The following is a 19026-nucleotide window of genomic DNA, read 5'->3' on the forward strand; positions in this document are numbered from 1 at the left end:
GCAAAAATTATGTCTTTCTGATTGGTGAGCCCATGTGCCTAAAGAAGGGAACAGAGTCCCAAAATGTATACTAGAAATCATTTGTATAAGAGAAGCTAGAAGAGCACAGGGACAGGGAGTGGTATTTAGAAGTGGGACTAACCTTGGAGAAGAGAGGTGGGAGGAAGTTTGTCTGACAGTTGTTAGGACCCAGGGGGCAAGGGTCAGGATAGATAGGATAGATGGTTGACTCTCGCTTAGGCAACATAACTCTGAGGGTTCTGCTCACCTCCTCAGTTGTAATTGGGAGACTTTGCTCTTTTCATGTTCCTTCCTTGTTATGCATGAAAATCCCACACCCTTATTAGGGAGGGATATATTAGCCATAGCTGGAGCTATTATCTACATGAATATGAGGAAAAAGTTACCCATTTGTTGTCCCCTGCCTAAGGAGGGAATCAACCCTGAAGTCTGGACATTGGAAGGACAATTCAGAAAGGCAAAAAATGCCTGCCCCGTCCAAATCAGGCTAAAAGATCCCTTAAGGCCTGAAGCTCATAAAGGATTACAGGATACTGTTAGACATTTAAAAGTTCAATGCTTAGTAAGAAAATGCAACAGTCCCTGCAACACCCCAATTCTAGGAGTACAAAACCGAATGGTTAGTGGAGACTAGTGCAAGATCTTAGACTCATCAATGAGGCAGTAATTCTTCTATATCCAGTTGTACCCAATACCTATAACCTGCTCTCTCAAATCCCAGAGGAAGCAGAATGGTTCACAGTTCTGGACCTCAAGTATGGCTTCTTCTGCATTCCCCTGCACTGACTCCCAGTTTTTCTTTGCCTTTGAGGATCCCACAGACTACATGTTTCAACTTAAGTGGATGGTCTTGCCTCAAGGGTTTAGGGATAGCCCTCATCTCTTTGGTCAGGCACTGGCCCAAGATCTAGGCCACTTCTCAAGTCCAGGCATTCTGGTCCTTCAGTATGTGGATGATTTACTTTTGGCTATCAGTTCAGAAGCCTCATGCCAGCAGGTTACTCTAGATCTCTTGAACTTTCTAGCTAATCAAGGGTAGAAGGTATCTAAATTGAAGGCCCAGCTCTGCTTACAACAAGTCAAATACCTAGGCCTAATCTTAGCCAGAGGAATCAGGGCCCTCAGCAAAGAATGAATACACCTTATACTGGTTTGTCCTCACCCTAAGACAATAAAACAGTTGTGGGGGTTCCTTGGGATCACCGGCTTTTGCCAACTATGGATCCCCAGATACAGTGAAATGGCCAGGCCACTCTGTACTCTAATCAAGGAGACCCAGAGGGCAAATACTCACCTAGTAGAATGGGAACCAGAAGCAGAAACAGCCTTCAATACCTTAAATCAGGCCCTAGTACAAGCTCCAGCCTTAAGCCTTCCCAAAGGACAAAACTTCTCTTTATACATCACAGAGAGAGAGGGAATAGCTTTTGGAGTCCTTAGACTTGTGGGACAACCCCACAACCAGGCATGCCTAAGTAAGGAAATTGATGTATTAGCAAAAGGCTGGCTTCACTGTTTATGGGTAGTTGCAGTGGTGGCCAACTTAGTATCAGAGGCTATCAAAATAATACAAAGAAAGGATCTCACCATCTGGACTACTCATGATGTAAATGGCATACTAGGTGACAAAGGAAGCTTATGACTATCAGACAACCATCTGCTTAGATACCAGGGGCCATTCCTTGAGGGACCGGTGCTTCAAATATGCACATGTGCAGCCCTCAACCCTACCACTTTTCTCCCAGAGGATGGGGAACGAATCAAGCATGACTGCCAACAAATTTTAGTTCAGACTTATGCCGCCTGAGAGGATCTCTTAGAATTCACCTTAACTAATCCTGACCTTAACCTATATACCGATGGAAGGTCATTTGTGGAGAACGGGATATAAAGGGCAGGTTATGCCATAGTTAGTGATGTAACAGTACTTGAAAGTAAGCCTCTTCCCCCAGGGACCAGCACCCAGTTAGCAGAACTAGTGGCATTTACCCGAGCCTTAGAACTGGGAAAGGGAATAAGAATGAATGTGTATACAGATAGCAAGTATGTTTACCTATATGCCCATGCTGCCATATGGAAAGAAAGGGACTTCCTAACCTCTGGGGTAACCCCCATTAAATACCACAAGGAAATCATGAAGTTACTGCACACAGTGCAAAAACCCAAGGAGGTAGCAGTCAAAAAGCCATCAAAACGGTGAAGAAAAAAAGGCAGAGGAATCCATCAGGCAGATGTGCTGAGTCCAAAATTGCTGCCAGGTGGAACCTCCCATTAGAAATACCTATGGAAGGACCCTTGGTATGTAACTACCCTCTCCAAGAGATTAAGCTCCAGTATTCCCTGACTGAAACAGATTGGGGACTTTCATGGGGGCATAGTTTCCTCCCCTCATGGTGGTTAATGACAGAAGACGGAAAGATACTCATACCCAAAGCCAGCCAGTGGAAAATACTTATGACCCTTCACCAAACTTTTCATATGGGTATTGAGAACATTCATAAAATGGCCAAATCCCTATTTACAGGGCCAAATCTCCTCCGGACCATCCAACAAGTAGTCAAAGCCTGTGAGGTGTGCCAAAGGAATAATCCCTTGGTCCATCATAAGGCCCCACTGGGGGAACAAAGAATAGGTCACTCTCCTGGAGAGGACTGGCAGTTAAGACTTCACCCATATGCCTAAGTCAAGGGAATTTCAGTATTTGTTGGTCTGTGTTGATACCTTTACAAATTGGATAGAAGCCTTCCCCTGCAAGACAGAGAAGGCTCAGGAAGTGGTTAAAGTCCTAATTCATGAAATAATTCCTAGATTTGGTCTTCTTCCCCATCTCTGATTGCACCAAGAATAGCCTAACAGGATGTGACACAAGTTTAACTTTCCAAGTCCCTTTATGCACCCAACACAGCCTGTTATACACCTCCATTCAGATGGCTTGTCTGTTTCTCAGGGCCCCCAAAAATCATGACCTCCGCCCTGCTTAGCAAACATCCAGGTTTTGTAATGGCAAACATACTCGCTGCATAACCATTCTCCCCTGGACCCTCTGCAGCAGCACCCCCACCACTAGTGAGTGCCTTCTCATCCCCTCTTTTAATTACTCTCTTGAATGGTTTCTAACAGATACAAGATGTGTTTTTCTCCAACGGGAAAATAGAACACTTGGAGCTACTCAGTTTGCACCCAACATTCCTTTCCAGCTGTTCACCAGAGCTACTTTGGCAACTACTCTAGGAGTATGGTAAAATGAAAACAACAAACTCACACACCTTTTTAACATACACAACCAGTTCTGTCTACTTAATTGAGACGTATTCTTCTTGACATTGCCACAGGAAATCAGACCCTATCAGTGCCCCTCAAAGCTCAAGTCCATCAGTGCAGGGCCATACAATGGTCACTACTACAGGAACTGGAATAGCAGGTTTGTCCACTTCACTATCCTACCTCCACATATTCTCAGAGGATTTCTCAGACAGTTTGCAAGAAATAACAAAATCTATTCTTACTCTACAATCCCAAATAGACTCTTGGGCAACAGTGACTCTCCAAAACCACTGAGGCCTAGACCTCCTCACTGGTGAGAAAGGAGGACTTTGCACCTTCTTAGGGGAAGAGTGTTGTTTTTACACTAGCCCATCAGGGATAGCATGAGATGCCACCTGGCATTTACAGGAAAGGCTTCTGAAATCAGACAACACCTTTCAAACTCTTATACCAACCTCTGGAGGTGGGCACCATGGCTTCTCCCCTTTCTAGGTCCCATGACAGCCATCTTGCTATTTCTCTCCTTCAGGCCCTGTATTTTTAATCTCCTTGTCAAGTTTGTTTCCTCCAGGATCGAGGCCATCAAGCTACAGATGGTCTTACAATGGAACCCCAAATGAGCTCAACTCACAACTTTTACTGAGGACCCCTGGACTGACCCACTGGCCCTTTCACTGGCCTAGAGAGTTTACTGCTGGAGGATCCTACAACTGCAGGGCCCCTTCTTTGCCCCTATCCAGCAGGAAGTAGCTAGACTGGTCATTGCCCAATTCCCAACAGCTGTTGTGGTGTCCTGTTTAGAGGGGGAATTGAGAGGTGAAGCCAGCTGGACTTCCTGGGTTGAGTGGGGACTTGGAGAACTTTTCTATCTTACAAGAAGATTGTAAAATGGACCAATCAGTGCTCTGTAGCTAGCAAGAGGATTGTAAAATGCACCAATCAGTGCTCTGTAAAATGCACCAATCAGCGCTCTGTAAAACTCACTAATCAGCAGGATCCTAAAAGTAGCCAATCTCGTGAGGATTGAAAAAAGGGCATTCTTATAGGACAGAAACAGAGCATGGGAGGAGATAAATAAGGGAATAAAAGCTGGCCACCCCAGCCAGCAGCAGCAACCTGCTTGGGTCTGCTTCCACGCTGTGGAAGCTTTGTTCTTTCACTCTTCACAATAAATCTTGCTGCTGCTCAAAAATAAATAATAATAATAATAATAATAAATTGGCTTCAATAGCACACATTAACCCTGCTCCTATTCAGTTCTTCTCCCTTATGTTGTTATTGTCACAGATTACAGCTTTATTCAATGTATGCTCATTATCATAGATTTATGATTATTGTTATATGTATTTGTCCTTTAAATCATATGGAAAACAAAAAAGAGGAGTTACAAGCCAAAACATCAATAATATTAGACTTTATATTTACCTTAGCAGCTATCTTTACCAGTAATCTTTGTTTTTATGGCTTCAAGTTACCACCTACTTTTATTTCATTTCAGCTGAAGGACCCCCATTAGCATTTATTATTTTCTTTTTTTTCCTTTAGCATTTCTTGTATGACAAGTCACTAGTAAAAAACTTCCGTGTTTTTTTGTTATTATTGATAATGAGAAATTGGTTGTTAATCCTTTTTAGAGTCCCTTGTATGCTATGTGTTGCTTTTTTCTTGTTGTTGCCAGGTGAGGTATCAGAGCCCTGGCATCAGGAAGTGGTCAATTCGCAGTTTACTAAGAAGAATTTACCAACAATAGTATGGGTATGCACAGTGAAAGTTTATTAGAAAGAAAGAACACTGCAAAAAGGTGCAGTGGGGGCTCTCAGAGAAAGGATTGAGCGCACCATGGTGAATTTTTCTTAGGAGTTTTTATGAACCTTAAGGCAGGAACTTAAGGATAATTTGGGCCATATTAGCCATGTAGGCCATGATAAATGATTACATTTTGATGCCTTAACATCAGCAAGGGTTGCAAAATGAGTTTCAGCATGGCATTCTGGAGACATATAGAAATTCTAAGCCTGGAGCAAGATGCTGACTTTATTTATTATTATTATTATTATTATTATTATTATTAAGTTATTTATTTTGAGATGGAGTCTTGCTCTGTTGCCCAGGCTGAAGCACAGTGGCATGATCTCAGCTTACTGCAACCTTCGCTCCTGGGTTCAAGCCATTCTCCTGTCTCAGCCTCCTGAGAAGCTGGGATTACAGGAATGCACCACCACACTCAGCTAATTATTGTATTTTTAGTAGAGACAGGTTTTTGCCATGTTGGCCAGGCTGGTCTCAAACTCCTGACCTCAGGTGATCCACCCACCTTGGCTTCCCAAAGTGCTGGAATTACAGATGTGAGCCACCACGCCTGGCCCAGATGCTGACTTTAGATACTAGGCAAGTTTAATTACTTCTAAATTCCCCAGATATGGAGTTTTGCCTCCACATGGCCTGTTTGATGGTCACCAGGTTGTCTTTGCTCCCTTCTAAATTCTTCAGATAAAAAGTTTTTGTCTCCAGGGCCTGTTCAATGGTTACCAGGTAATTTTCACTCTCCTCAGGTGATTTTAAGATTCTCTGTTTGTTTTTAGCTTTTGACAGCTTGCTTATATATAATGTATCTCAGCATAGATCTCAATCTCTTTATTTTTATCCTGTTGGATTTTGTTGAGCTTCTTGGTTGTGTAGATTCATGTTTCCTTCAAGTTTGGGAAGTTTCCTGCCATTATTTTTTCAAGTATCTTTCTTTCTTTCTAAACCTTTATCTTTCTCTTCTCCTTCTGGAGACGTCCATAATGTATATATGGGCATGCTTGGCAGTGCCCCATAGATCCCTTAGGCTCTGTTCACTTATCTTCATTCTTTTTTTTTTTTCCTGCTCCTCAGATTGGGTAATTTCAAGTGTCCTATTTTTAAGTCTGCTAATTCTTTTTTGTGCCTATCCAATTCTACTGTTTTATCCTGTTTTAGTCCATTCCCTACTGCTATAACAAAATAACTATAGACTGGGAAATTTATTTTTAAAGGGATTTACTTGACTCACAGTTCTGGAGGCTGGGAAGTCTAAAAGCATGGCACCAGCATCTGGTAAGGGGCACCTGATGGTGGAAGGTACCACATGGTGAGGAACCATGCACTCAAGACAGAGAGAAAGGGGACGAAACTCCTACAAAATAACCCACCCCTGAGATAACAGCAAAGCCTTCATGAACTAATCACCCCTTAAAGGTCCCACCTCTTAATACCATCATGATGGCAATTACATTTTAACATGAGTTTTGGAGAGAGTGTTCAAACTATAGCATACTCACTATTATGTTCCCCACACCCCCACCCCCACAATTTTAGCTGTTATAATTTTCAGTTCTAGAATTTCTATTTGCTTCCTATTTCTATCTCTTTATTGGTATTCACTACTTGTTTGTACACTGTTATCCCAAGTTTTTAAGTTTTTATCTATGATTTTTTTCAGCTCTTTGAGCATATTTGGTAGTTAATTCAAAGTCTATGTCTCATAAATCCAATGTCTAGGGCTTCTTCAGTGAAGACTTTGGTCAAATCGGCACCCCGCACCCCTCCCCCCCAACTTTTTTTCCTGTAAGTGGGCCATACTTTCTTGTTTCTTTGTGTGCTTTCTGAATTTTTTTTTCCTTGAGAACAGAACATTTTAAATACTGTAAATTTGTTAACTCAGGACATCAGATTCTTCCCTCTCCCCAGTGATTGCTGTTGTTGCTTGATGAAATCTCCAGATATTCATTTATTTATTGACTTTTCCAAAATAATTTTTTCAAAAAATATATTCCTGGTCACATGTGGTTACCGAAGTCTCTGTTTTGTGATCTATGATGTCAGGCAGTGACCTGAGAGAAATGTTCTCAAATGCATAGATTCCATAAGAAAAGAAGAGAAATGATGTTCTATCTCTTTAAATTCCCACAACTAACTGTTTGGGGAAGTTAATTGTGTTTGACAATTGAAACGATGGACAGGTCTTTTGCCAGTCCCTCAGTAATCTGTCAAGCAGATCAAAAGATGCAATCTCGATTTTGGGGGAACAAAATCTGTATTGCCCACTGTGGCACCAGCAAGCTACACTGGAAATGTAAGCCACCATCCTTGTGACTACATGCTGTCAGGCTGGGAGATGGTGAATTTAGGTCACTTCATAAAATATTGAAATTCAATAAAATTTACCAGGCTTTTTCTTCACCAAGCATTCCTCTAGATGCTACGAGTATTACACTAGACTCTAGAGTTCTGAAATACTTGATTCTTATGTTTCTTGCCAGCTCAGTAGTTGTTTCAGTGGAGAGACCAAATCCTGGAGCTTCCTACTGTACCACCTTCAATGACATCACTATGACTTTAATTTTTTTCAGCATTTATATGCTTTATGTATTGAAAATAAAGAAGAAAGGAAGGAAGGAGGAAAGGAAGGAAAAAACGGAAGGAGGGAAGGAGAGAGAAGGAAAAGGAGAGAGAGTGGTAGGTGATATGGTTGGGCTCTGTGTTCCCACCCAAATCTCATCTTACAGCTCCCATAATTCCCACGTATTGTGGAAGGGACCTGGTGGGAGATGATTGAATCATGAGGGCAGGTCTTTCCTACACTGTTCTTGTGATAGTGAATGGTCTCATGAGATTTGATGGTTTTAAAAACAGGAGTTTCTCTCCACAAGCTCTCTTTGCTGCCATCCATGTAAGATGTGACTTGCTCCTCCTTGCTTTCCACCATGACTGTGAGGCCTCCCCAGCCATGTGGAACCATAAGTTCAATAAAACTCTTTCTTTTGTAAATTGCCCAGTCTTGGGTATGTCTTTATCAGCAGTGTGGAAAATAACTAATACAGCAGGAATGGATGGAGGGAAAGAGAAAAGAAGGAAAGAGAAGGATTTTTCATTGCAGAACATAACCAAGTGCTTAATTCAGCATTTCAGTCATGGGGTAAACACAGAATCCTGAGAATTGAACTTTACATGGATGAGAAAATGCTGACACCTAAGCCACAGAATAAAAGGCAACTGGCCTAGATTCTTGGGTTACCTTGTTGGAGTTTCTGCCACATGGACATTAGTTCCCCTTTTGTCAATATTATGTTGAAAGAGGTTGTGCAGTTGCTGGCATAGTTGTATTCTTATAATTAAATATTTGTTTGTTTCTGGAATTACTTTGCTCTTCCACTATAAACAGTCACCATGGTAAAATTTGCAGCACCAATTTTCTATCAGCATCACTATGTATTCTTGTTCTCTTGCTTTAATGACATTTTTCTTAGGCTGTATGACTATATGATCCTAATGGACTTAAGTGAACGGTGCATGGGGGCAGGGTGGTTGTAAACTGCATCATTCTTTCCATACTTTCTGCCTTTGTAATCAATTTTGTAAGGCTCAAAGAAAAATATCAAACTCCCCAATTCCTAAATGATTAATACAGAGATCTAATTACCTGGTACCTTAAAATATATATTGTGTTTGGGTTGGGCCCGGTGGCTCATACCTGTCATCCCAACACTTTGGGAGGCTGGGGCAGGCGGATCACCTAAGGTCAGGAGTTTGAGACCAGCCTGACCAATATGGAGAAACCCCGTCTCTACTAAAAATACAAAATTAGCCGGACGTGGTGGCCCATGCCTGCAATCCCAGCTACACGGGAGGCCGAGGCAGAAGAATCACTTGAACCCGGGAGGCAGAGGTTGCAGTGAGCTGAGATTGTGCCATTGCACTCCAGTCTGGGCAACAAGAGCAAAATTCCTTCTCAAAATAAAAAAAAAATATATATATATATAATTTATATATATATTATATATAATTTTATATATATTATATATATAATTTTATATATTATATATATATAATTTTATATATATAATATATATAATTTTATATATATTATATATATAAAATTATATATATATACACAGTTAGGGGGAACCCTCTGAAATAGTTCCAAGGAAAATAAATTTAAATTGCATTTATTAAGCAATCCACTAAGTGCCAGCAGGAGATTTCTTCCTACAGCGTTGCAGAAACATTTTAGAGATATGGTTTGGCATGCTGCAGAATGCACAGGTCTTCAAAGAAGGCTCTGACCTACTTTGTTTCTGCCTAGTCTGTGCTGGTTCTTGCTACTGTAGCTTTCTGAGTCAGGTAGAGTCAGTCATTGCACCATTTTTGGTAGCCAGTCTGCTCATACAAGACCCAAGGCAGAGTCATAATACAGAAGCTTCTGATTTCTTACCTACATTTAGGAACATTATTACAAGCATTTTGCTCAGAGTTGAAGGAGCTTTCTGTTTTCATCATTTCAGTGTAAATTTCAAAATAGCTAACAGGAATGTCATCTTAAGTAGTAGATCATGATTTCCAAATATACACTGGCTATATCTCATAGGCAGCAACTTATTAATAAGAACTTTAGAGAATATTTTTTTGCCATAACCCAATAAGGCTAAGCACAAGGATGGGAGCCCCAAATTAGGAACCTCATTGGTTTTCATAGGCAATATACATTGTGTGCCACTATAATCCAAATCCATATAGGCACTACCAGTCCCCCTTGATTAAGAAGCTAAAGGTAAAGTAAAGGGGTCCAAGACACAATCGTGTGGAAGGAACAAATTGAAAGACTAACCTGATCCTGAAGACTACTAGAGAAAGGCCATACGAATTTTAAAAATTCTTCTGAATAATCTTTCCTCTCTGCCTTAGACCCAGCTCAAACTTTCTGCATTGTGTGCCTTAATGAGAATATTTGTCTTCATTCAATTTATTCATTTAGGCACTCATTCTATGGACCTAGTATTCAACTTTCCAGGAAATGTGTAGCTCCTTTCGTCTTTCTCTTGAGGCTTCACGCACAGTCAATAGGTATAATTTTTCATTAAAGGTCCAATATGATTTAAAACTTAACCTGAACTGATAATTTAAACAGTTCCTTTAGGCAATATTTAAGCTTTTCTTTGGATAATAATGCTTAGTCTCTTAGGAAACCTTCCCCTCCCATTGCTTCTCTTTCGAAAATACCATCTATTTATACGTGAGGGAAGGTTCTGGTTGGCCCATTCTTGAGGCATTAGAAGGGACTTCCTGGTGTGGGCTGGTGTTGTGTGTGTGCTGATATCCTCTTGTCCCTGAGGCACTGTTTCTTACTTACCTGGTTGCTGACTGCCCTGCTGCCATTGAGAGATTTTCTGGTGGGTATTATTCTTAATCTGGTCTCTGCTGCATCAAACCATATTTGCAGTGGCTCCCTGTCTGAGCTGCCCTGACCATGGTTCCCACGGGTACTATGAACCTCTTTGAGGTCCTGCATTGACTCCTAATTATTTCTTCAGCCCTTATTACATAACATTATTTGGCAAGCTCCTTGATTACTTTGAAGTTCCGTATAGAATATAGGAAAGCAAGGGGCTTCTGGGAAAATACATGCCTTGAGATTTCTCTCTTCCTGGAAACACCATACTTTTTTTTGTTTGTTTGTCTGTTTGTTTGTTTGTTTGTTTTTGAGACAGAGTCTCACTCTTGTTGCAACCTCCACCTTCCAGGTTCAAGAGATTCTCCTGCCTCAGCCTCCTGAGTGGCTGGGATTACAGGCACCTGCCACCATGCCTGGCTAATTTCTTTTGTATTTTTAGTAGAGACAGGGTTTCACTATGTTGGCCAGGCTGGTCTCGAACTCCTGACCTCGTGATCTGCCCGCCTCGGCCTCCCAAAGTGCTGGGATTACAGGCGTGAGCCACTGCGCCCGGCCGGAAACACCATACTTATAAGTTAACTTTGCAGTGACAATACCTTGCAAGGTGTCGGGGTTTTTTACAGTCATAAATGGGGAGTAAGGGAGAGTTCCTTCTTCTCAGTGCTCCTGTAAAAGCAGTAGGGGAAACTGGGAGAAATTACTTATAGCTTCTCTGGCCTAACCCTCAAACCCTTTCCTTCCCTTCCCATCACCAATTAGACAGAAAAGAACCTGAATTACTTTTTCCTCCTCTTGTCTGAACCTAACTTATATAAAATTTTGGACCAGACCTCATATCCAAACTTTGATAAAAAGGAAGCTATCAGGGATCCAAACAATCCTTTCTAAACACAGAGCCTGACTCACTGGATTTGTTGGAAATTTTGTTTTAAATGTCATTGAATAGGAGTTTCCTTTCTGGTAATGGCAAAATAGCTTGTAACAGACTAAATCTTTTACAGAGAAAAAACAGACAGTCTGAATTAAATGAAAACAAAGATATAAAAGATTTTGAAGACTAAATAGAATTACAAAGATGGCTGAGACTGGAAGAACCAAAGTCATGGACAGAGGAAAGTCTTATTGAGGTAAGCTGGCCTGTTGTGGCTCTTTTCCTTAAAACATTCACCAATCCCTGACTGCTGTAGATAACAAAGACTGGGAAGCCAACAGAAAGTGACTTCAAAGAGGCAGAGGAGATGAGCAGTGCTGTTGTCATTACTGTAGGATCATGATAAAATTTAGATTGCAGGGCTAATCAGATAGGAAGGATTTGCGAAGCCAACATTTCATGGAGAAAAAAAAAAAGTGTAGAGTTGTGAGCCCAATGGTGTCAGCTGCTTTTACTGTCAAGGTATTCATGATTCATAAAAGTAAGCAATGAGGGCAAAGTGAAGCCTAGAGAGAAATGGCAGTGAAGAAAATAAAGACCTAACTGAGCTTTTGGCAATCTCATTATGCTTAAGAGATTTAAATTGGAGTTTATGACTTGTCAAGGAAGAAGGACCCCAGGATTTCAGTTTGGAATCTTGAAGGACTACCCCCAAAGAGGAAGGGAAAAAAATGAATAAATAAAAACATAAATAAGAAAGACTAAATGAACACCCCAAAACATCTCAGCTCCTATTAGGACTAAGGTTTTTTTTGCCTTTAATTTGCTAACAGAAACTAACTAATCCAGAGCTTTTATAATTTTGTATATACAAAATGTTTATTTAATCAAAAAAATTTAAAGATATAATGAGAATGGACCAAAAGAAAATGAGACAATAAAAGTAGATTTGCAGGTAATACAGAAATTAAAGTTTTCAGACAAAGACTTTAAAATAATTTTGATTGGTATGTTCAGAAACAGAGGACCAAGCAAAATTCACCAGATACCTGAGATCTATAATTTAAAAAAATCAAATGTATGCTCTAGAGCAAAAAATGCATAAAGTGTCAGTAGACTGATAACACCTTGATCATTTTCTTTGAATTATTTCTGTGCTAAATCATCATCCCTCTGTTCAGCTTCAGTGAAGGGAAACCAAGATTCACCATTCAGTAAATCCCCTAAACATCTGATCTCTTAGACTCTTAAGTTCTTTGACTGCTTCTAGCATCCTCTCCCTACTTTCCTGAGTTTCAAACTTAAGGAATAAGCCAGGATACAAGGGTCTCTCCTTCTCTCTGGCCAAATTCAAACTAATTTTTAAAGTATAATGCCAGAGCTGAAATGAAACAGAAAGTACACAAAAATAGACCAAAAACAGATTATTAAGGAAAGAAAATTACTGAACAAATTTGTCAGAACAAAAAAAAAATCACTAGTCATTTGGAAAAAAAAATAAATGTTTTTATCCTGATAAACTATTTTATGTCAAAACAGAAAAAATGTATTAGTTAATATTTTGTAATCTTAGTATGAGAGCAAAGTTTTCTAAGCATGAAAACAAAGTCAAATGAAAAGGTAAAATTTTCTGTATAATATCTCTTAGGGAAAAAAGGAAGATAATAAAAGAATAAATCCAAACTATATTAAATTTTCACAATTTAGGCAGGACACTATAATAATGTTTCTATTCTTGATTATATAATGAGCTATTATGAAACAAGAATACCCAAATAGATTAGAAACATAAGCAAAATATATGTATGGGCCATTTTCAAAGATGAAATAGAAATTACATGGTATTCAGCCTTACCTGAAATGTTTAAAATGCAAATTAAATGGCAATTAATTTTAGCTTTACTCCATTAGCCTAAAACAGAATTTAGGGTTTAATAATACCTATTATCAGAGTTCAAGTGGAGAAATGGGCACTGTCAGGAAATAGTGGTGGGATTATAGGTTGCTATAATATTTGTAAAGGATATTCTAAATATGAATGAAACAACATAGTATGAAAAAGAATAAGGTAGGGATTTCCAGGATGGATTTTGGAGAAAACTCTCTACGTCTGAATCACAGTGGTTAGACACTTGTGAAGCTGCCACGGTTTCAGCATCTCTCCAAAGTTTTAGCTTTCCTGACAAAGGATGACTCAAGCATCTCTTGGCTTCACCATCTTACATGGCTCTATGTACATGCAAGGATGCTGGAAAATATACCCGTTTTCAGGTCCAGAATGGAAAGAAAAAGCAGATATGCATGAACACTAGGACTCTCATTCTCACAAGTGGGAATCATATATTAAATGTAGCTATTAATATTATCGCGTTCCTTTTGTCCCAAGAATTCCACTTTTCAAAGTTATCCTATACAAAAACATGGAAAAGTGTGCAGAGAGATACATTTAAAGATTTTATTTATAGTATCCTCTATATTGTTGATAGTTTTAAACTACATTACCATTCAAAAGTCATGATAAAGAGCTATAGTTATGGACAAAGAAAAATGTCCATAATTTATCTTTAAATGAAATATCCTATATCAATACAATAACAATTGTGTAGAGGTGTGTTTCCTTGTATTTCAGTATGTGCTGTTATCTAAATGTTTGTGTTTCCCTAAAATTCATATGTTGAAATTCTAACCCTCCAAGGGACAATATTAGGAAGTGGGGCCTTTAGCAGGTGATTAGATCATGAAGGTGGAGGCTTCGTAAATGGAATTGGTGGCCTTATAAAAGACTGCAGAGAGATAGCTATCTCCTTTCATCATATGAGAACATAGTGAGAAGGTGCCACCTATGAGAAAGGAGCCCTCAATAGACGATAAATCTGCTGGCACCTTGATCTTGAACTATTCGGACTCCAGAACTATGAGACATAAACTTCCGTTGTTTGTAAGCTACCTAGTTTATGGTGCTTTGTTATAGAAGCTGCCAAGTGAACACAGGGGGAAAAAGCATGTATGAGCGACACTGTAAAGGTTTTCACGCTTGCTTACATTAGCAAGTTAAAGTTGTGGGGATTGTCCTTTAGTAGAAAAATGTAAAAAACTCTTAAAAATGCCTTACTTAGTTTTAAAAGTAAAAGCATTTTTTCTTTCATTCTTGCTTTTGTCTTTTAATATGTTTCAAAAAGGACAAAATATATTATGTTCACAAACTCATAATATAAACATGTGTATCAGACCCAAAGTAAATGTAAATTTAAAAATGGAAATGTAAAACATATCCCATTCACTACATACTGAAAATTATAAATACTTACAAATAAAAGTAACAAGAAAGAAACAGGAAATATATGAGATAAACAATAAAATCTTATTGTAGAATATAAAATTAAATCTGAACACATTTGAACATATACCATTCTCTTTATGGGAGGAAGTACTTTCATAAACCACTATTCTCTCTAAATTAGTATAAGTGTAATATGCCTCTAATTAGAATGATAATAGAGATGTAAATCAAATTCTATAAATGGATCTCGAAGTTCATATGGAAGAAAATGACACCTAAGATTAAGCAAAAAGAAGAGGACGGTGATGATAATAAAGAGAGACTTGCCTAACATAAATCAGGCTACACCAAAAATTCCCTGTGATTGAATCAATATATCATTAGCATAAAAATAGATGCATGGATGGGTGAAACAAGATGTAGAAAAAATAAATGGGCATTAGCATATATGAGAATTTCCTACACACTAATACTAGTATTTCAATTTAATGGAAAAAATAAATTATAAGATTGTGTCATGATTGGTTATTTATATAGAAGACAATATAATTTTTCCTGATATTATACCATATACAAAATAAAATTACACAGGAAATAAATACTTAAATGAATTTAAAGTTTAAATATTTATAAAACTTTAAACAACCAGGGAAACAGGTCCAATACCTTAATGGTGAGCTGAAGGGAATGTTCTTAAGCAATATGTAAAACCAGATTCTATAAATAAAAGATAGGCATTTCTGTCTAAAAAAATGTGAAACCTTTGAGAGGCAAAAAGCAACATAAACCAAAGTAATAGACAAACAATGGATTTGGAAAGAAAATTGTAAATTATTCAACCAAAAATCGTTTGCTATTTATAAAATTGAGAAATAATTTTGCAAACAATAAAACAATTTTCCATAATTCATACTTCATATATACTTAACTCACAATTTCTAAATGACAAACTGCTGAACAATGTAAATGTAAACTATGCATTTAGAATCTCAACACAAAGCCCATGGCCAGTCAGGTAAAGACAATATTTAATTACTAATAAAGCAGACAATCCTATACTTTGGTTAAAAATTCCATGTTATTTTTTTTTCTTTTATATAAACATTATTTCCCAAGGATCCATGCAGAGTAAATATTGTGAGTGGCCTCTACGTAAAGTGTTTTAACATGTAAAAAGTTTTTGTGTTTAAACTTTTCCTTAACAAAATGCAAAGCTCTGAAATTTTGACAAGAAAAAGGGCAAATAACTCAATAAAAATGGGAAAGAGATATGAGAAAATACATTTCTTAAACGTAAATCCTAAGGTCAAGAAATATATGCTCAGGTCGGATGCAGTGGCTCACACTTGTAATCCCAGTACTTTGGGAGGCCGAGGTGGGCAAATCACCTGAGGTCAGGAGTTCAAGACCAGCCTGGCCAACATGGTGAAACCCCATCTCTACAAAAAATATGAAATTTAGTCCCAGCTACTAAGGAGGCTGAGGCACAAGAATCTCTTGGACCCAGGAGGCGGAGGTTTCAGTAAGCCAAGATTGTGCCACTGCACTCTAGCCTGGGCAACGAAGCAAGACTCTTTAAAAAAAAAAAGAAAGAAATATGTACTCAAACTCACCGGGAGTCAGGAAAATGCAAATTAAAAATTAAAGTAACACTGAGATATCACCTTCCTACACCTTTAAAAGGAGCAATAGCACTTACTGTTGGTGGGAATGCTGATACAGGATGCCTTCAGAGGAGGAAACAAAACTGGAATTGTTTAAAATCTTTTTGGGAAAATAATCAGGCAATACTACTGAAATTAGTCAATATATCATTTGAGCTATGAATTTGCCATCCTCCTTTTTGGATCATATTTACTGAAATAAAAACACAGGTATTAAAATATATATGCACACAGATTTTATTAGAGCATTGGTTGCAGTGAGAATGGTTGAAAAAGATGGTACATTCATACTTTCAGAGTCGCTTCAACCAGAGTGACTCCACCTTGAACAGGGGCTGGGTAAAATAAGGCTGAGACCTACTGGGCTATTCCCAGGAGGTTATGCATTTCTTTTCACAAGATAAGATAGGAGGTCAGCACAAGATCCAGGTCACGAGGGCCTTGCTGCTAAAACAGGGCCCATTAAAAAGCCAGCCAAAACCCAACAAAACCAAGATGGCAATGAAAGTGACCTCTGGTCGTCCTCACTGCTCATTATATGCTAATTATAATGCATTATCTGCTAAAAGACACGCCTGCCAGCACTATGACAGTTTACAAATGCCATGGCAACAACAGAAAGTTATTCCATATACTCTATAAAGGGGAGGTAACCTCAGTTCTGGGAATTGCCACACCCCTTTCCTGGAAAACTGATGAATAATCCACCCCTTATTTAGCATATAATCGAGAAATATTAATAATTATTTAATAACTGTAAGTATACTCAGTCAAGCAGCCCATGCCACTCCTCTGCCTATGGAGTAGCCATTCTTTTGTTTCTTTACTTCTTTAATAAACTTGCTTTCACTATACTCTATGGACCTGCCCAGAATTCTTTCTTGCATGAGGTCCAATCTCTTGGGATCTGGATCAGGACCCTTTTCCAATAACAAAACCATGAAACACTATGCAGCAATTAAAAGAAATAAAATAGAATTATACCTGTTGAAAATAAATTTCCATGAGGTATTCTTAAGTGAGAAAAGCAGAATGCAGAATGTCAGGCCTCTGAGCCCAAGCCAAGCCATCGCATCCCCTGTGACTTGCACGTATATGCCCAGATGGCCTGAAGTAACTGAATAATCACAAAAGAAGTGAATATGCCCTGCCTTGCCTTAACTGATGACATTCCACCACAAAAGAAGTGTAAATGGCTGGTCCTTGCCTTAACTGATTATATTCCACCACAAAAGAAGTGAAAATGGCTGGTCCTTGCCTTAAGTGATGACGTTACCTTGTGAAAGTCCTTTTCCTGGCTCATCCTGGCTCAAAAAGCTCCCCAACTGAGCACCTTGCAACCCCCACTCCTGCCCACCAGAGAACAAACCCCCTTTGACTGTAATTTTCCTTTACCTGCCCAAATCTTATAAAACGGCCCCACCCCTATCTCGCTTCACTGACTTTCTTTTTGGACTCAGCCCGCCTGCACCCAGGGGAAATTAACAGCCATGTTGCTCACACAAAGCCTGTTTGGTGGTCTCTTCACACGGATGCGCATTAAACAGAACATTTGCATATAATCTCATATTGAAAGGAAAGAATAAGCTCCATATGTGTGTATTTATACTTTGCACTTCTATTGTATATAAATAAGTTGATGAAAAAACAAACTCTTTAAAATATTTAAAGAAGTGATAATAATGAAGAGGAACTTGGCTTAACATACATCAGAATATGACAAAAATCTCCTATAACTGAATCAATATATCATTAGCATAAAAATAGATGCATGGATGACTAAAACCGGTTTCTAAACCAATATGAGTGACCATGGCCCTGGGAACAGTCTCAAGGGATCCTGAGAAAGTGTGCCCTAGGTAGTCAGGTTACAGTTAAGTATTGTACATTTTAAAGAGACGGACATTACAGGCAAAGACATAAGTCAACACAGGTAAGGTATACACTGGTTCAGCCTAAAGAGGTGGAATATCCTCAAATGGGGAGAAGTGGTAGCTTACAAGTCATAGGTAGATTCAAAATTTTTCTGATTTATAATTGGTTCAAAGAGTTATGCTTTGTCTAAAGACTTTAAGTCATTAGAAAGAAATGCTTGCATTAAGATAAGGGGAGCTGTGGAAGCCAAGGTTCTTCTTATGTAGATGAATCCTCCAGGTAGCCCCTTTCAGACAGAATAAATGGTAAGTGTTTCTTTTCAGATTTAAAAAAATATCAGACTCAGTTATCTCTCCTAGATCCAGGAAAGGCCCAGTTACATTAATGCAGATTCTCTATGGGTGCAAATTTCCCCCATGAAAGACGGCTTTGCAGGGCCATTTCAAAATTTGTCTAAGAAATATATTTTGGAGTAAAATATTTTTATTTCCTTTAGGGTCAGCTATGTGTCATGTAATGCTATACCAGGAACAGGTGGGAATTTGGTATCTTATTGCCACAAAGAGTATGTTTTTTTCAGTCTTATAATCTCTATTTTAACTTTAATTTTGGTCAGTTGTGCCTAAACCTCAAAAGGGAGGAGGGGCTGGGCACGGTGGCTCACACCTGTAATCCCAGCACTTTGGGAGGCTGAGGCGGGCGGATCACAAAGTCAGGAGATCGAGACCATCATGGCTAACATGGTGAAACCTCATCTCTACTAAAAATATAAAAAATTACCAGGGCATGGAGGTGGGTGCCTATAGTCCCAGCTACTTGGGAGGCTGAGGCAGGAGAATGGTGTGAACCCGGGAGATGA

The 19026-nt window shown here is 38.8% G+C and overlaps 1 annotated feature.

Annotated features, from left to right (window-relative positions):
• Nucleotides 17080-17847: an enhancer, noted in NCBI's record as "OCT4-NANOG hESC enhancer chr17:52422746-52423513 (GRCh37/hg19 assembly coordinates)". NCBI's record gives its function as "activates a minimal SCP1, AML or CMV promoter by ChIP-STARR-seq in naive and primed H9 embryonic stem cells {active_cell/tissue: H9 hESC(naive and primed)}" and the evidence as "EXISTENCE:reporter gene assay evidence [ECO:0000049][PMID:30033119]".

The sequence above is a fragment of the Homo sapiens genome, chromosome 17 (genome assembly GCF_000001405.40).
Source record: "Homo sapiens chromosome 17, GRCh38.p14 Primary Assembly".
Taxonomy (NCBI): Eukaryota; Metazoa; Chordata; class Mammalia; order Primates; family Hominidae; genus Homo; species Homo sapiens.